The sequence below is a fragment of the Homo sapiens genome, chromosome 14 (assembly GCF_000001405.40).
Source record: "Homo sapiens chromosome 14, GRCh38.p14 Primary Assembly".
NCBI classification, from domain to species: Eukaryota; Metazoa; Chordata; class Mammalia; order Primates; family Hominidae; genus Homo; species Homo sapiens.
Window position 1 is genome coordinate 35,806,277 of NC_000014.9, and position 18,608 is coordinate 35,824,884.

An 18,608-nucleotide genomic window follows, 5' to 3' on the forward strand; every position below is an offset into this window, starting at 1 on the left:
TATGCCAAGCATTATGTTAGCCAATTTACATGTGCTAATTTATAATATCATTACCATTAGTTGTAAAATGGGGGGGAGGGGGTAGGTAGAAAGGATAACAGCTTTAGAAATCAGACAAGGCTTTTTTTTCTGTTTTAAGAAAACCCTGACTTCTAGTTTTTACAAATCAATTATGCAACAGTATCAATAAACATACCAGATTTAAATCTAAATCTTCAGAGTCAAGTTCTATAAATTTAACTTGGATTGTCCTACAGTGGGAACACATGCCAGGAAAAAAGTTTACAGCGGATGTTTAAATTATGATTATGTTCTCATACATATAGATGCACTGAATCCTCCCATAAGTACCCTGAGTGAATGGCAGTTCTGTTTGGTCCCATATGAACTATGAACTATGGGACCAAACAAAAATCAAAAGCCTGTGTAACTGGCAATGCCCAATTACTCTGCAAACTAGTTTCCTCATTGTGTTTACCTTATTTAAAGCCCGCACCTACTTCCAGAAAGGATTTTCCATCTGCAAAATCAAATACCTGATTGGCAGACCTCTAAAAGACACTAGTTTTTGTCATTCTACTTTCTCTCATTCATTTTCTTAGAAATTACATTAACTGTATTTCAAACAAAATAACGACAACAATAAAAGACTTGTTTTTGTTTTGTTTTGTTTTCAAACCAAGCAAGCTAAGTCCTACAAAATGCCTTATATGTGTGACCTCTCTCTTAATTTACCTTTTAATTTTCCATGTCTGCCAGATGGAAAAAAACTCTATGCCAAAAAAGTATATATAAATAATTCCTTAACCAGTCTATAAATAAAGTATGGCCTTTAATTTAGGAAATCTCGATACTTTATTGGAACTCAACTTTATAGCTGTGTCATTACCTAACCTACAGCTTATCCCAAGTAGGTGTCAAGCTCCATTAAGTGTTCAATTTCAAACTGCCATTACCTGTGAATCCCTCGCCTGCATTCACACATTAACTTACTGTGTCCTATTCTCGGCTAAATCTTTATTTCAATGGCTTAACTCTCAAGAAGAATGAAAACAAAAAGATCACAATCTCCACTATATTTAGAAGCTTTACATTTTCTTGAAAACTGAGCTTTTTATAGCGCTAAACTGGATTAACTGCTTTCTTACTACTCCACTGGAATAAATACAATTTACTTGTGACAAAGATTAGCTGTCATAAATGTAGAAAGAGTAAAAAAACAAACTAGAGACACAAAATCTGGGTTCCAATTCTGACTCAGCCTCCTGGTAGCTGGCTGACTACTCGATGTTCCCAAACTTCAGCTTTTTTGTTGGTAAAAAATGGAGAATAATATCATCTACCTATAGAGTTATTGCAAGGATTATCATAATTTACGTGAAATCACTGTAAACAGTAAAGCATCATAGAAATGTTGGGTAATATTGGTGGTATCCTGGTGGTATGAGTAAACAATAGACTAGAGAAACATGTACCTCAAATAAGGGACTTACTTTTTTCACTAAATAAACATCACTTTCCAAAACAAATACGCATCAGGAGGACAGCTCGAGATAAACTCTGAACTAGGATTCAGGCATCTGGATGAATGCATCTTCTTCAGCCAGTTCCACCATTAACTCTAAGTATCAACACAGGCGAAATAATTTTCCTTTTCATCTCAAATGTCTTCATCTAAAAAATCCAACTACTGGACCAGATGTTCCATAAGTATTATTACAGCCTTTATCAGCCTACCAAATGACTAAGTATTCAAAAGAGTCGATTAACATTATATTCAAAACTTAGAGCACTGTTTGGTCTACCAGCAAAACAGAACTTAAGGGCAGACGATAAAAAAAATATTTTTAATTAAAAATAGAATTATATACAATTCTCGAGAAGCAAAGGATGAGTTAAACTACCTATAATAGTTCTCCCTCTAAATGACTAGTGATGAACAAGGTGCATTAACAAAAGGGCGGGGCTCCTTCCCACAGCTTTTTGGGAACCGCCCACTTCCCAAAGAGGTGTAACTGCTACCTCCTTGTCTTCATCTGCCAAGAAACTTGAAAGATTAAGGTTTATATTGTCTGAGAGAGGATTTTATTTTTCTTTTTACTTGGGTGGGGTTGGCAGTAGTCATCTGGCAAACATATCCTATAAACACCATTATCCACAACGCCAGGTCTCCCCACAAAGTCTTAAAGATCTAAGTTTTTAGAGTAATACCAATTTTAAAAAATAAGTTCAGACTATTAACTCAAAATTAGATTACTGTGTTAACAGTAATCAGTGCTGCCAACTGCCAAGTTTTCGCTTCTCCGAATTATTCACCCTCCCGCGTCTCCGCAGAGGCTACGATTTGCCCTCTCCTGCACCGCGCCAGGTCCCGAGAGAGAGTCCGCAGGGGCTCCCAGGAGAGGGAAGGCCGGGCAACCCAGGCCTCGGCGCTGCCACCCCTCGCTCCTCACCGATGACGATGCGCAGGTGCTTGAGGCGAGTCAGTGCGTCCTTCTTGGTGTCTAGCACCTTCTGGGTGGACTTCTTCACGTCCCCGTGCGGCTTCTTGGAGAACATCCTGTCGCTGCCACTGCCACTGCCACTGCCACAGCCGGCTCCCAGCCGGGTCCCGGCGGCAGAAAGTGGAGGGAGTGGACGGGGAGGAGACTAGCCAGAGAGGCTCATTAGCTCCCCAGCCTTGCGGGCCAGGGCAGAGCCGACTCCTTCCCGATCCAGGCCAGGGCCGCCACCTCCACCCGCCTCGCGCCGCGGCTCCAAGGCACCTTCGGCCCCAGCTCCAATATGGCGGATCCCTCTCCCGGCCCTGCACGGAGCGAGGCAGACCCGGGCTGGCCGCCTGCCGCCGCCGCTCGTCTCCAGCGGCCGCCGCTCGCCGCCACAGGCCGGGGCCCCGGACCCAGAGCCACGAAGGTGGAGCTCTCGGCGGCAGGAGCACAACTCTCTCCCTGAGGCCCCCTTAAGGTTGAAGCTTCTTTAGCAGCTTACACCCTGCAGAGGCCGAAACGGAGACGAGTGTGGTAGTGATGGGGTTTCACGACTCTGCCGTCGGTGGCGAACGGTGTCCGTGGCAACCGCCTTCTGACGTCAAGAGTTCTTGACGTCATGCCAGCATGAGATCACCCGTGGCACTCCCCGCCTTGGTTTCCTGTGTAAGCAGCCAAAGGAGAATCTCAAGAAAGGCAAGGAAGGTAGTTACTGCGTGCTCCATTGTAAGCCAAATGATAGTAATAAGCAAAGAGAAGTAATCTTTATTAAATATGTCCATGATTTATCTTTGAAAATGTGCATAAGTTGTTGTGGCCACCAGATCCTCTAGCAGAAAGATAAACGAAGTTACAGTTGGGCAATTTATTCTGTCCTAAATCTATTACTAATAATATTTCCTGCACTATGTATGTGATTTCTTTCATATTTTTTCTATTTGCAATATCCCTGTTTTTTGCTGCAAACAACTTGACAACAGAAAGGCTTAAGCAGAGGTATCTAGGTTTTTTAAATAAAAGTAATCTTGCTTTCCTTTTCTATTGTGCTTTTAAAAATCTTTTCCCCATCTGCACCCCACATAAAGATGAATATATTGTCAGTTTTTCCTCTGCAAAGAAGAATTCAAGGTTCTTATTACATTGATGGAGTCATCTGAAGAATCTGCAATAGCTGAAAAAAATCCGTGAAATTCTGAATGACATAAATTGAAATTTTTATTGGAACCCTTTTTTTTTTTTTCCTTTTTCCTTTTCTTTCCAGACAGGGTCTCTGTGTCCCAGGCAGAAGTGCAGTGGTGTGATCTCAGCTCACTGAAGCCTCGAACTCCCAGGCTCAGGTGATGCTCCCACCTCAGCCTACCGAGTAGCTGGGACCACAGGTGCGCGCCACCACATCCAGCTAATTTTTGTGTTTTTTGTAGAGACGGGGTTTCGCCATTTTGCCCAAACTGGTCTAAAACTCCTAGACTCAAGTGATCCGCCCGCCTCAGCCTACCAAACTGCTGGGATTACAGGCGTGAGGCCACTGCGCCTGGCCAGGAACATTTCCTCCACAAAATAATTTGATAAAGAGTGAGTTTGCTTGTTTGAACTGTTTCCTTCTATGTTCTCACCCATAGCAATAGACTTGTCCAATGAAATATGTGATTAACATAGAAAAATAACAAAATCAGCAAAGAAGAGAGATGTAAGACATTTGCCAAAATTATGTTAAAATATAGTGCTTTGCTTAATGGTAGTTTGTTTCAACAACAATCCTATATTTTTTAAAGTACAAAAAATTTATTCAGTTTCTACATGTAGGGTTTGTTTGTATCATCAAACTTACAAGCCATACATGTTTTGAGGAAGCTTATAACATAATAGAAAAATAAGGGGATTGTTCAAGAGATTTTAGTTCTAGTTCCTCTCAGCATCAGTTTTCTTATTAATAAAATCAAAATAAGGTCTGTCCCTCACAGTTTCGTGAAATTTAGGCAATAATACAATGTTTTCAAGCATGATCTTTAGAATTACATAGACCTAAATTAGACATTCTGTTTTTCACTTGCAAGGACTTACTTGCTCTCGGGCCCTTGGCATGTAGTTCAGTCTCAGCCTGATTTTCCTCATTTGTAAACTACATCAGTGATTGTGATAATTAGGTGAGAAAAGTATTGAAAGTTACATCTATAATGACACATCTCATAACATTCCTTTCCTTCATAGAATTTAAATACAGTAATTTGTGTAACTGTTTACAGATTCTCTCTTTCATGAGACTGTAAACTCCCTGAGGACAGAGACTGTATAGATTGTCTAAAGTTGTATCCCAGTCTTCTTGCAAAGTGCTCTTTGCAAGATAGGCTCAATAAATCTGTGTCGAATAGAAGAACGAATGTCACTGTCCCTTCCTTTCTCTTGCGCAAGTACTCAGTAAATGTTTGGCAAATGAGTGACATAATTTTAGAGAATAAAAATGTAACATATCGTTAAAAATAATTATATGGCTGGTATACCTGAGAAAAAATGAAAACACCATTGCAAAACAAACTAGTATAATGTAATTTACATATGGCACACCCATCCCACTGCCTGGTTTTTCTCTTCCCATTGATTTAAATATTAAAATTCTTTGAAAGATAAGTCTTCCCCACAGCAGACATAATTATCATGGAAATAAAACCCAGAAATATACCTTTGAAATATTGCTTGTGAGGGCCAGGCACGGTGGCTCATGCCTGTAATCCCAGCACTTTGGGAGGCCGAGGCAGGCGGATCACAAGGTTAGGAGAGTTCAAGACCAGCCTGACCAACATGGTGAAACCCCGTCTCTACTAAAAATACAAAAAAATTAGCCAGGCGTGGTGGGGCACGCCTGTAATCCCAGCCACTCAGGAGACTGAGGCAGGAGAATTGCTTAAACCCAGGAGGCGGAGGTTGCAGTAAGCCAAGATTGCACCACTGAACTCCAGCCTGGTTGACAGAGTGAGACTCTGTCTCAAAAAAAAAAAAAAAAAAAAAAAAAAAAAAAAATATATATATATATATATATATATATATATTGCTTGTGAGAACTAGATTTTTTTTCTTTTAGTGACTGGGTCTTGCTCTGTCATCCAGGCTGGAATGCAGTGGTGCAGTCACAGCTCACTTTAGCCTTAACTTCCTGGACTCAAGCAATCCTCTCACCTCAGCCTCCCATGCAGTTGGTAACACAGGCAGGTGCCAAAAAGCCCAGCTAATTAAAAAAAAATTTAGTAGATGGCCAGGCGTGGTGGCTCACTCCTGTAATCCCAGCACTTTGGGAGGCCGAGGCAGGTGGATTACCTGAGGCCAGGATTTCAAGACCAGCCTGACCAATATGGAGAAACCCCTTCTCTATTAAAAATACAAAATTAGCCAGGAGTGGTGGCGCGTGCCCATAACCCCAGCTACTCGGGAGTCTGAGGCAGGAGAATCACTTGAACCTGGGAGGCGGAGGTTGCGGTGAACTGAGATCGTGCCATTGCACTCCAGCCTGGGCAACAAGAGCGAAACTCCATCTCACAAAAAAAAAAAAAAAAAAAAAAAAAAAAAATTTAGTAGAGACAAGGTCTCACTATTTTGCCCAGGCTGGTCTTTAACTCCTGGCCTCAAGGGATCCCCCTACCTCAGCCTCCCAAAGTGTTGGGGTTACAGATTACAGGCATGAACCACCACACCTGGCCTACACACAAATGTTTATAGCAATTTTATTCCTAACTCCAAAAACTAGAAGCAACCAAGATATCTTTCAGTAGTTAAATGAATAAACATACTGTGGTACATCCATACAATGGAATATTATTCAGCAATAAAAAGAAATGAGTTCTTGAGCCACAAAAAGACATGTATGACACTTAAATGCATATTGCTAAGTGAAAGAAGCCAGTCTGAAAATGCTACATACTGTATGATTCTAGTTATATGACATTCTGGAAAAGGCAATATTATAGCAATAGTAAAAAGATCAGTGGTTGCAAGAGGATTGAGGGGAGGGAGAAGAAGATTGAATAGGTGAAGGATGGGATATTTTTTAGGGTGGTGAAACTATTCTTTTTTTTTTTTTTTTTTTTTTTTTTTTTTTTTTTTTGAGACAGAGTCTCACTCTGTCACCCAGGCTGGAGTACAGTGGTGCAAACTTGGCTCACTGCAACCTCCGCCTCCTGGGGGCTCAACACCACACTCAGCTAATTTGTTTGACTTTTAGTAAAGATGGGATTTCACCATGTTGCCCAGGCTGGTCTTGAACTTCTGGGCTCAAGCGATCCGCCTGCCTTGGCCTTCTAAAGTGCTGGGATTACAGGTGTAAGCCACTGTGCCCCACCCCCACCCATATACTTCAAATCATCTCTAGATTCTTTAAAATACCTAATGCAATGTAAATGCTATGTAAATAGTTGGTATTCTGTATTGTTTAGGGAATAATGACAAGAAAAAAAAAGTCTGTGTGTGTTCAGTACAGATGTAACCATCCATTTTTTTCTGATTCCTAGTTGGTGGAATCCACAGATGCAGCACTCATGGATACAGAGGGCCAACTGCACACATATGTTTACTAGCACATCTATATACACATACCTATAAATATTTCTGTACATAACCATCTGTATCTGTATTAAGCTAAACATGAATTAATACCTATGTGGTGCCTCAACTCTAATCCATTACTAGATGAATCATTCTACCCTTCTCCCTTTACTTATTATAAACTCCCACTCCAACAATAAGATACTTGGTTCCCACCATATACCAAACATTTACTTATTTTATTGCAGTATACATGTATAACAGTATCAGAATTGTTAACCTACTTTCCCATGAGAAACAACTTTATTAACTAGAGTACCGTGCATATGTACATTTTCTTTTGTCTTTAGTCTTACAGATTCCACTCATTCCCAAATAAGTACCTTTTTCTACACCTTCTTTAGTGAGGTTGTTTCATACTTATAATACAGTTTGATTATTTTGTCACATTTTGTGTTCCAGTGGGATCCTCTGATTTCTTTTAATGTGCATACGTTAAGGTTCATTCTACATGCTATAAAATAGTTCTATGAGTATTGGCAAATGCATAGGGTCATGTATCCACAATTACAGTATCATATAGAATAGTTTCTGGCTGGGTGTGGTGGCTCATGCCTGTAATGCCAGCACTTTGGGAGGCCAAGACAGGCAGATCACTTGAGGTCAGGAGTTCAAGACCAGCCTGCCCAACATGGTGAAAACCAGCTACTCAGGAGGCTGAGGCAGGAGAATTGCTTGAACTTGGGAGGTGGAGGTTGCAGTGAGACGAGATCACGCCACTGCACTCCAGCCTGGGTGGCAGAGTGAGACTCCATCTCACTCAAAAAAAATCTATTTTTTATTTAAATTAAAAAAAATTTCCCTTAGACTACTCAGCAGAAAAAAAAATCTATTATTTTTTCTATCACAAAAAATATTTGGTGAGAAAAGTGTTATAGCTTATTTTTTTTTTTTGCAAATTTGCTTATAGTTTGGCTTAATTAAAGACAGCTGGATTCTTATATACACTATTCTCTTTTGGTTGAAGTATATGAAGGTAATCTGGCTTCATATGTATATGTAATTGGTAAAAAGAGTGTTTTAATATGTTTTTTAGATAATTGTTGACACTACAATAAAAGTCAACAAGTGGTAGTTTTTAAAATTTCAACTTTTATTTTAGATTCAGGGGGTACACGTGCAGGTTTGTTACATGGGTACAGTGCATGATGCTGAGGTTTAGGGTACAATTGAATCCATCACACAGGGAGTGAGCATAGTACCCAATAGTTTTTCAACCCTTTCTCTGCTCCCTGCTGCCCCCTTCTGGTAGTCTCCAGTGTCTGGCATAAAGATTATGTCCTTGTGTACCCAACGTCAAGCCCCCAACAAGAGGTAGTTTCTTAAAGATGAGTTGCAGTAAGGAATATGAAAGCCTATCAGTAAGAATTTTGTACTCCTTATATTAAAATCTTGTACTTTGAATAGATCTTTCACCTATACATAATTTTGTAACATTATGCATTCATCAAAATAATTGTTTGCTGACTTATACAGAGCTTTAAAATGCTAACACATTTCATTAAATAACATAAAAAAAAACCTCACATACATCAGAAAGCCTTTAAGTATTGGAAAGTTTTCATACTCACAATGGTTGGTAAAAGTTTTTCAAATTTCTTTTTTTTTTCAGAGACGGAGTCTTGCTCTGTCACCCAGGCTGGAGTGCAGTGGCACGATCTCAGCTCACTGCAAGCTCCACCTCCCAGGTTCACACCATTCTCCTGCTCCAGCCTCCCGAGTAGCTGGGACTACAGGCGCCTGCCACCACGACTGGCTAATTTTTTTTTTTTTGTATTTTTTTTAGTAGAGACGGGATTTCACTGTGTTAGCCAGGGTGGTCTCGATCTCCTGACCTTGTGATCTGCCCGCCTCGGCCTCCCAAAGTGCTGGGATTACAGGCGTGAGCCACCGCGCCCGGCCTCAAATTTCTAATTTTTACTTAGAAGCTTAAATTTTATCCTTGGCAACAAATAATGTCAATTGTTCTTCTAAAAATGACAGGCGCACTCTATTTATTTTTGCAAATATTTCAAATACCCATGTCTGAATTATTGTAGTTTGTTTATCACTTCTTTCATGTAAAAATGCCATTTTCTGAATAAAGTTGCTAGGTCAGTTCACAACTCAATTGCAGAAAATTTTTTTTATAAAGACCACCATTGTACTTTAGTATGCAGCATTAGTCCTTGCCCCTTATAAAGTTCTAAACATTAAGTACACATAGTTTTTGTATTTTCTGTGACAAAATGAGCATATAAAGAGCAACTGCTTCATCAAGGACAGTCTTAAGTGAAACTGGTTTTTCATTTTTACTGTGTGTGATAGTGAAGAATACAATGAATATCAGTACAGTTTGGTATCACTACCTTCATGCTAAGGGACCAGCTATTTCACCCATCATTGCTTTTGCACATCAGTTCCAATGTCAATATGTTTTGTAATATCTTTCTATGCACAATTCCTGGCTCACTGCAGCCTCAACCTCCCAGACTCAAGTGAATCTCCCACCTCAGCCTGCTTAGTAGCTGGTACTATGGGCATGCACTATCATACCTGGCTAATTTTTGTATTTTTTGTAGCGATGGGGTCTCACCATGCTGCCTAGGCTGGTCTTGAGCTCCTGGGTACTCAAGCCATCCACCTGCCTTGGCCTCCCGAAGTGCTGGCTACAGGTGTGAGCTGCCTGACCATATCTTTCTACTGTAATTTCATTGATCATGATTTATGGTGTTCAGTTATCTTTTGACATTTAATTTTTAAAGAAAGCAAGTAACATTCACAGACAAGTGAAGAAGCATTAAATGAAATATGATTTATTATGAACAGAGAGCTGAAAATCATACACAGTGAGCATAGAACTCAAGCAAAATATGTTAAGGAGATTTGTTGAAGCAATGACTGCTGATATTATTTAGTAGCATAAGGAAATGACTCAAATATGGAGACAAGTAAACTATATTTTAATCTTCTCTCTCATGCCCCAAATTTAATTTACTATCAAGTTTTGTCAGTCTTACCTCCCAAATATCTCAAATTTGTCTATTTTGTTTCCCCCACACAGCCTCTACCTGTCTAAACTGTCAGAATATTTTAACACAGTATCTGATTGATATTGAGATAAAGTATCATTTTCTACTAAGCAACCAGTGATCTTTTTATAAGAGCTAATCTCAAATCAATGTAATTTTATCACTAATCTCATCTTCTCTTCTCCTCTTACCAACTTCCCAGTAATAGCCACTGTATTTAGGATTTTAAAAAATCTAATTTCCTTACCATAATTTATCAAGCCTTTGCTTACCTCACCAAACACACCTTGTGTCTCTTTCATTCTTGAACATTAGTAACCATCCACAGTGGTCTCTTTATTCCTCAAACATGAATATGCCAAGTTTTTTTCTAGTTCAGGACCTTAACATACACTATTCTCTCAGCTTATAATGTCCCTCCTCTCATTCCGATCTGGGCTAACTCCTACTCATCTCTCAGGTCTTAGCTGAAATATTACTACTTTAGAGAGGTCTTACCTGCCGTCCACTCCCAATCTCAATTGGGTCTCTGTATTATACTCTCCTAACACCATCAGAGAGCATACCTCAGTTTGTCAAGCTGCTTAATATTTATCTCTCTACTTTTCCCTAAGTTCTATGAAGTCATAAGCTGTGTCTCATTTATTCACCAATGAATCTATTGAATCCAGAACAGTACTTCAGGTTAAATACAAATTATAGGAGGCTGTTGTTTTGGACTAAGTTCCTGCACTAGGCCCCCACAGATCAGACTGAAAGTCAAAATGGAGTCACCTGTGATAAAGTTTCACCTCACCAAACCTAAACTAGGTTGTTATCTTACCTTCCAAGAATTAAGAGAGAGATATGAGGGGGTCTTCAAAAAGTTCATGAAAAATGTGTATTATAAACAAACAAAAAAAACTGGCTGAGTGCAGTGGCTCACACCTATAGTCCCAACACTTTGGGAGGCCGAGGCAGGTGGATGGCTTGAGCCCAGGAGTCAAGACCAGCCTGGGCAACAGGGTGAGACATGTTGCCCATGGCTAATACAAAAATTAGCCAGGCATGGTGGCACGTGCCGGTAGTCCCAGCTACTCAGGAGGCTGAGGCGGGAAGATTGCTTGAGCTCGGAAGGCAGAGGTTGCAGTGAGCTGTGATCACACCACTGCACTCCAACCTAGGCGACAGAGGGAGAACTTGTCTCAACAAACAAAACAAAACAAAAATTCCAAAACTATAGATGTCAATTTTTTTTCAACAAAATAAGCTTATATTAACTTGTTATAACATGTCTGGACAGAATCCAATTTGAGGCACTGAGAAGAATAAAACATCAGTTTGTAAAGAGCCCCTATCAGAGCAATGTGAATTCTGCTTAAGTTGAAGCAAGAACAAACACCAAATTTATGATGAAGCTTGGATGGAAGGATAGTGAAATCACTGATGCTTTACAAGAAGTTTATGGGGATGATGCTCCAAATGAATCAGCAGTTTACAAATAGATAACTTATTTTAAGAAGGGACAAGATGATGTTGAAGATGAAGCCCACAGCTAGACCATCCACATCAATTTGGGAGGAAAAAGTTAATCTTGGTCATGCCCTGATTGAAGAGGACTGATGATTAACAGCACAAACAATAGCCAACACCATAAACATTTCAATTGGTTCAGCTTACAAATTTTTGAGACAGAGCCTTGCTCTGTCACCCAGGCTGGAGTGTGGTGGTGTGATCTTGGCTCACTACAACCTCTGCCTCTAAGGTTCAAGCAATTCTCATGCCTCCACCTCCCAAGTAGCTGGGACCACAGGCATGCGCCACCACGCTCAGCTACTTTTTGTATTTTTAGTAGAGACGGCATTTCACCATGTTGACCAGGCCGGTCTTAAACTCCTTGGCTCAAGTGATCTGCCCCCCTCAGCCTCCCAAAGTACTGGTTTTACAGGCGTGAGCCACTGAGCCTGGGGGATTGTTTCATTCTTAAGCAATTGGAATCACATTTTCACGTAGTTGGAATAATTATAAGTTGGTCTCATCTAGTTCTCAGTGTAGGTCCTAAAGCCCCTTTAGTTCGAATGATGAGAATATTTATCCTGATTCGATACTAGCTATTAGTAGCAGCTCTGGTGTCCTATCTTTGTTTTTCCAACTCCTAGCATTTGGCCTGAGTCAATCAGTAGACAAAGTTTACGGATTGTATAGCTGATGTCTCTGCCCCACCATGTGGTGGAGCCTGGAATTAAATTTGCTTTATTTCAGAAGCTGGATCTGCTGATTAAAAACAAACACAAGGAATATAATGAGGGTAAATCAGAGTAAAACCTGGAATTCTAACTGCTTCCTTATACCTACTTTATTCCAAACAAAGATGAAATTAAAAATTTTATAAATTTATATTTTAATATTTCCTTCCTGCCCCCCAGGATACAGTTCTCGAATACACTCCTCCCACTTTGGAGACACTGACCTAGAGAAATTCTCACACATATGCCTGAAGAAAAGGTGCATACAACAATGTTCATGCTGGGCACGGTGGCTCACCCCTGTAATCCCAGCACTTTGGGAGGCTGAGGTGGGCGGATCACCTGAGATCAGGAGTTCGAGACCAGCCTGACCAACATGGTGAAACCCTATTTCTACTAAAACCACAAAATTAGCCGGGCATGGTGGGGGGCGCCTGTAATCCCAGCCACTCCGGAGGCGGAGGCAGGAGAATTGCTTAAACCTGGGAGTCGGAGGTTGCAGTGAGCCAAGATGGTGCCATTGCACTCTAGCCTGGGCAACAAGAGGAAAACTCTGTCCAAAAAAAAGCAAACAAACAAACAAACAAACAAACAAATGCAATGTTCACGGAGGCAACTTTTTTTTTTTTTTTTTTAAAGACAGGGGCTTACTCTGTCTGTCACCCAGGCTGGAGTGAAGTGGCACAATCACAGCTCACTGAAGCCTGGACCTCCCAGGCTCAAGCCATCCTCCTACCTCAACCTCCCAAGTAGTTGGGACTACAGGCACGCACCACCACGCCCAGCTAATTTTTGTATTTTTTGTTGAGACGGGGTTTCGCCATGTTGCCCAGGCTGGTCTCCAACTCCCAATCTCAAGCGATCCGCCTGCCTCAGCCTGCCAAAGTGCTGGCACTACAGGCGTAAGCCACTGTGCTGGGTCTGAGACAAATGTTTTTAATAGTGAAAAAATTGGGAGCAGCCTCCCTGTCCATTAATAGGTAAATGGGTAAACTGTAATATTCATTCAATAGAATATATTTACTAAATGGAACATGTTATGGCAGGTAAAAATAACTGGATGAGAGCTACCTGAATCACAATGGGTAAATCTCAAAAACGTCACTAAGGAGAAAGTCAAGTTGTAGCATACGTAATGCATGAGACCACTTAAAAATATGAGCATTTTGAGACCGTGCTGGGTTGCCGCCGCCGCTGCAGCCATCGTGCCAGCCCCTCGGGTCTCCGCGAGGCCGGCTGACGGTCCAGAGTGGGAGACAAGCCAATTTGGGAGCAGATAGGATCCAGCTTCATTCCACATTACTACCAGTTATTTGATAACGATAGACCCCAACTAGGCGCAATTTACATTGACGCATCATGCCTTACGTGGGAAGGACAACAGTTCCAGGGGAAAGCTGCCATTGTGGAGAAGTTGTCTAGCCTTCGGTTCCAGAAAATCCAGCACAGCATCACCGCGCAGGACCATCAGCTCACGCCGCATAGCTGCATCATCAGCATGGTTGTGGGCCAGCTTAAGGCGGATGAAGACCGCCATCATGGGGTTCCACCAGATGTTCCTATTAAAGAACATCAACAATACTTGGGTTTGCACCAATGACATGTTCAGGCTCGCCCTGCACAACTTTGGCTGACCTCTCAGCAGGCACTCATGCTGTTTCTTGCTCCCTCCTCTCCCCAGTGCTATTCCCACTCCTCCAGATGCTCCAAATATCATGCACAAATGAGCAGGGCCGTGGCGGGAGTGGGTGCAGTGCGCTGCTGCCGCCGAGGTGTTGTGCATGATGTTTGGACGCTAGACTAGTTGCATCTGACGGGAGAAGTTTGTATTGTACCAGCGCATGCCTTGGAAAGACTTAAGTAATGCAAAAGATTGTCCTTTTTTTTCTTTTAATCTACTGACAAGTTGCTCTAGCAACCCAAAGAAGTGAAGAGAAAGAAGCTGCCTCACCGCCCAGACATTGATTTGTTCAGATGTTTCAATGCCTCATGATACAATAAAACCACAACATCTTCCTAAAATAAAAAATAATAAAAATAAATAATTAAAATAAAAATATGAGCACTTTAAACAGGCCAAACAATACTATATATTATTTTTGGATACATATACAAAAATAGTATGTATAGATGCATGGGTAACCAAAGCACATGGTAACCAAAAACAGGATACTAGTTACTCTGGAAAGGGAAGGAGAGAATTAGGATTGAGAAGCATCGGAAGCAAATGTAAAATGCTAACATTTGACAGAGCTGAGAGGTAGGTACTGTGTTACATATGCAATGTTCTGAATACCTTTCTCTGTGTTTAAATATTTATGACTTAAAATATTACACAAAACAGAATAGAAAAAAAGTATACCCCAAAGAAGATAGGGGAGGAAAACTAGAAGCAAAATGCCAAAATTACTATATGTCTACTTTGTACCAGAGCAAACCCAGCAGGAGACGGAGTGCTATGGGATTATCTACCAAGAATTATGATAGGCATGTTATTGGAGAGAATGACACTGAGCCAGGAGCTAAATTCTTCAAAACGTGAGAGGGAGTGACCCTGGGTTATATAGATGACACCCACATATATACTGTGTGGTATATCCTGATGACAAACTGGCAGATTTTAGGGAAGAGGGAAGCAGGAGCCTCTGGATGGAAGAAGGAGAACGAGGAGCATACCTACTCCATGACAAGGCTCAGGAGGAGGAGGAGGGTACAAAGGAAGCAAGGTCCTAAGGGAGAGCCATATTTCCTTTAGAACAAGAATGTTGAGGGAACAGTTCAGGGAAGAGAATGAAGATATAGGAGATTTTGATGATGACTAGCTATGAGTTTCAGAGCTCTACAAATATGTAAATATGAATGGATTAATAAAAAGTGAGACTTAAAATATATCTAATGTTTATATAGGCCCTATGCAAAATGTAAAGTGCTACATAAATGTAAGGCATCCTGGACCTCCCAACTGCATAATAATAATATAATAATAATAATCATTATTACCCTTTTAACTGCCTTGATTAAGGAAACTTCATTCTGCTTCCATGACTTTATTTTGTATTTTCTAAATCAACAAAATTATTTTTTAGCCTTATTAACTTTTCCCTATTATGGTTCTTCTCACATTCCCTACGCATCTTTTCTAAAATCTGTTTGAGAGGAGGTGAGAGAAACTCTTGCCTTAGGCAAAATACTCTCATGCAACTCTAATTGCATAATCTCCTATTATTCTGTCTGCCTTAAAATTAAACTTAATGATGACAGGAATTTTAGAGCTGGAAGAGAATTTAAAGTTAACACACTGCAAACTTCTTATTTTACAACGGATCAGAGATTATGTGGTTTGCCAAATTTTATCAGTTGGTTACTAGGAGAACAAGGCTAGAACCCATGCCTCCTCCTTTCCACCTTTCCTGTTTTTCCTGGAACAGCAGAAACAGAAAGCAACCACTAGAGGCGCACTGTATGCCAGTGGTTGCACACAGATTTTTATGTCAGACTACCCAAGTTCAAATCTTAGATCTGTTACGTAGTAGCTATGTGACTTTGGCCAAGTACTCTAACTGCTCTGTGCCTCGGTTTTTTCATCTATAAAATGGAGGGCATAATAGTATCGACTTCATAGGATTGTTATGAGGATTCAGTGAATTAATGTACTTAAAGCACATAACACACTTGGCACATTGAGTGACCAGAAATCTAATTGTTACGATTTAGCACACACTCTGATAGCTGCTGATATTTAGAGGCCAGGGATTTTACCCACAGCTGTTTTTGTTTGATCTGAAGTTTAAAGAACACAAACAAAACAAAACAAAAAACATCACTTGAGATAATGTTTATAGTTCTAGATATTTCACATAGAGATCCAAATTTCCGGTTTCTCTTTGAAATCAGAAGGTCTGACATCGGTAGGCCAAAATTCTCAGGTAGTAACAATTGGCTGGGGCCAAATGCAGCTGCCCCCTTTAATCCGTACCACTCATGTAAAGCTTACATCTTTTAACTTGACCTGCCTGACTACTGCATGCCTTTGCACTTGCATTTCAGCTTAAGACAACCTCTGCTCTCAAGGAACTCATAATCCAATAGGTGAGACGCATTTGCTAAACAGTTTACAATATATTGTCATAGGAACAAGTATAAACTTGCAAATTTCAAAATACAGCAGTCAACTGAAGGAACAGGAGTGCCCTGAATGGTAGAGGTGCTGACGGTGATATGTGTTGTCTAAAAAGTGGCTTTGAAAAAGAAAAGGAGAGGAACAGGGTTGTAAAGGAAATAGAATGTGCAAAGACACTGAAATGGGAAACAGCTTGTGTGTTTAGAAACTGTAAGGAGTTCAATTTTGGACAATACTGTAAAATGAGAAAGGGAGAAGTAGGCTGACACTAAATATAATACACATCCCTTATTTTGTATTTTACTCTGTAAGAGATAGGTAGCACTTAAAAGGTTTTCTGTCATTAAATTACAAATCTAGGTTGGGTACAGTGGCTCACATCTGGGAATCTCAGTGCTTTTGGGAGGCTTAGGTGGACAGATTGCTTGAGACTAGAGTTCGAGACCAGCCTGGGCTAGACCCTGTCACTAAAAAAAAACGAAAATATTAGCTGGGCATGGTGGCATGTGCCTGTGGTCTCAGGTGTTTGGAAGGCTGAGGCGAGATGATCGCTTGTGCCCAGAAGTTTGAGGTTGCTATTGCACTCCAGCTTGGGCGATAGAACGAGATCTTGTCTCTAAATAGATAGATAATTAAATAAAATTGCAAATTTAACTGCATATTTTTGGACCTTGTCTTTGAGAATGCAATGCTATACAATCCACAATATTCTATGAACTTTTTTTTTTTTCTCTTTGAGACAGGAGACAGGGTCTCACTCTGTCACCCAGGCTGGAGTGCAGTGGTGCAATGTCGGCTCACTGCAATCTTGACCTCTCAAGTTCAAGCAATTCTCTCACCTCAGCCTCTGGAGATTGGGTTTCACCATATTGGCCAGGCTGGTCTTGAACTCCTGACCTCAAGTGATCCACTCGCCTCGGCCTCCTAAAGTGTGGGGACTACAGGCGTTAGCCACCCTGCCGGCCTGTACTATCTTTCAATAGCAAATTGCCACTTCAAGAAGAAGAAACCCTGTCGTTATAAGGGGTAAAATATAGTTTTAAGATTGGTCTGCAAATGAAGTTTCCTTATCCGTAAAATGGGAATAACAATGGCACCTAACTCAGGGCTATTAAATTGAGAATTAAACTCACTAAACCCATGTAAAGGGCTTACCAAGATACCTGATACAGAGGATAAATGGTCACTTAATGAGTTATGATACCTATTGAGGCTTCCTTGTCTATGTACCCTTTATTTATTTATTTATTTATTTATTTATTTTTATTGATCATTCTTGGGTGTTTCTCGCAGAGGGGGATTTGGCAGGGTCATAGGACAATAGTGGAGGGAAGGTCAGCAGATAAACAAGTGAACAAAGGTCTCTGGTTTTCCTAGGCAGAGGACCCTGCGGCCTTCCGCAGTGTTTGTGTCCCTGGGTACCTGAGATTAGGGAGTGGTGATGACTCTTAACGAGCATGCTGCCTTCAAGCATCTGTTTAACAAAGCACATCTTGCACCGACCTTAATCCATTTAACCCTGAGTGGACACAGCACATGTTTCAGAGAGCACAGGGTTGGGGGTAAGGTCACAGATCAACAGGATCCCAAGGCAGAAGAAGTTTTCTTAGTACAGAACAAAATGACAAGTCTCCCATGTCTACTTCTTTCTACACAGACACGGCAACCATCCGATTTCTCAATCTTTTCCCCACCTTTCCCGCCTTTCTATTCCACAAAGCCGCCATTGTCATCCTGGCCCGTTCTCAATGAGCTGTTGGGCACACCTCCCAGACGGGGTGGTGGCCGGGCAGAGGGGCTCCTCACTTCCCAGTAGGGGCGGCCGGGCAGAGGCGCCCCTCACCTCCCGGGCGGGGCGGCTGGCCGGGCAGGGGGCTGACCCCCAACCTCCCTCCCAGAAGGGGCGGCTGGCCGGGCGGGGCGCTGACCCCCCCACCTCCCTCCCGGAAGGGGCGGCTGGCCGGGCGGGGCGCTGACCCCCCCACCTCCCTCCCGTCCGGGAGGCTGGCCTGGCGGGGGCTGACCCCCACCTCCCTCCCGGACGGGGTGGCTGCCGGGCGGAGACGCTCTTCACTTCCCAGACGGGGTGGCTGCCGGACGGAGGGGCTCCTCACTTCTCAGACGGGGCGGCTGCCGGGCGGAGGGGCTCCTCACTTCTCAGACGGGGCGGTTGCCG

General features: G+C 41.6%; 1 protein-coding gene and 1 pseudogene across 21 annotated transcripts in view, besides 4 other annotated features; one reads left to right on the plus strand and one right to left on the minus strand.

Moving 5' to 3' along the window:
• Positions 1-3,019, minus strand: part of RALGAPA1 (Ral GTPase activating protein catalytic subunit alpha 1) — a 270,940-nt gene extending 267,921 nt beyond the window's left edge. For all 21 annotated transcript variants that reach the window (XR_007063998.1, NM_194301.4, NM_001346246.2 and 18 more), the window contains exon 1: positions 2,454-3,019. Coding sequence is in view for 20 of the 21 variants with exons in the window: in NM_194301.4 (NP_919277.2) it covers positions 2,454-2,559 (106 nt within the window). In the remaining variant the exon portion in view is untranslated. The remainder of the gene's footprint in view (positions 1-2,453) is intronic.
• Positions 2,669-3,229: an enhancer, noted in NCBI's record as "H3K27ac hESC enhancer chr14:36278151-36278711 (GRCh37/hg19 assembly coordinates)". NCBI's record gives its function as "activates a minimal SCP1, AML or CMV promoter by ChIP-STARR-seq in naive H9 embryonic stem cells {active_cell/tissue: H9 hESC(naive)}" and the evidence as "EXISTENCE:reporter gene assay evidence [ECO:0000049][PMID:30033119]".
• Positions 2,746-2,985: a silencer, noted in NCBI's record as "silent region_5679". NCBI's record gives its function as "represses an Ori minimal core promoter by ATAC-STARR-seq in GM12878 lymphoblastoid cells {active_cell/tissue: GM12878}" and the evidence as "EXISTENCE:reporter gene assay evidence [ECO:0000049][PMID:35858748]".
• Positions 3,066-3,165: an enhancer, noted in NCBI's record as "active region_8281". NCBI's record gives its function as "activates an Ori minimal core promoter by ATAC-STARR-seq in GM12878 lymphoblastoid cells {active_cell/tissue: GM12878}" and the evidence as "EXISTENCE:reporter gene assay evidence [ECO:0000049][PMID:35858748]".
• Positions 13,059-13,560: an enhancer, noted in NCBI's record as "H3K4me1 hESC enhancer chr14:36288541-36289042 (GRCh37/hg19 assembly coordinates)". NCBI's record gives its function as "activates a minimal SCP1, AML or CMV promoter by ChIP-STARR-seq in naive H9 embryonic stem cells {active_cell/tissue: H9 hESC(naive)}" and the evidence as "EXISTENCE:reporter gene assay evidence [ECO:0000049][PMID:30033119]".
• NUTF2P2 (nuclear transport factor 2 pseudogene 2) lies at positions 13,482-14,338 on the plus strand (annotated as a pseudogene).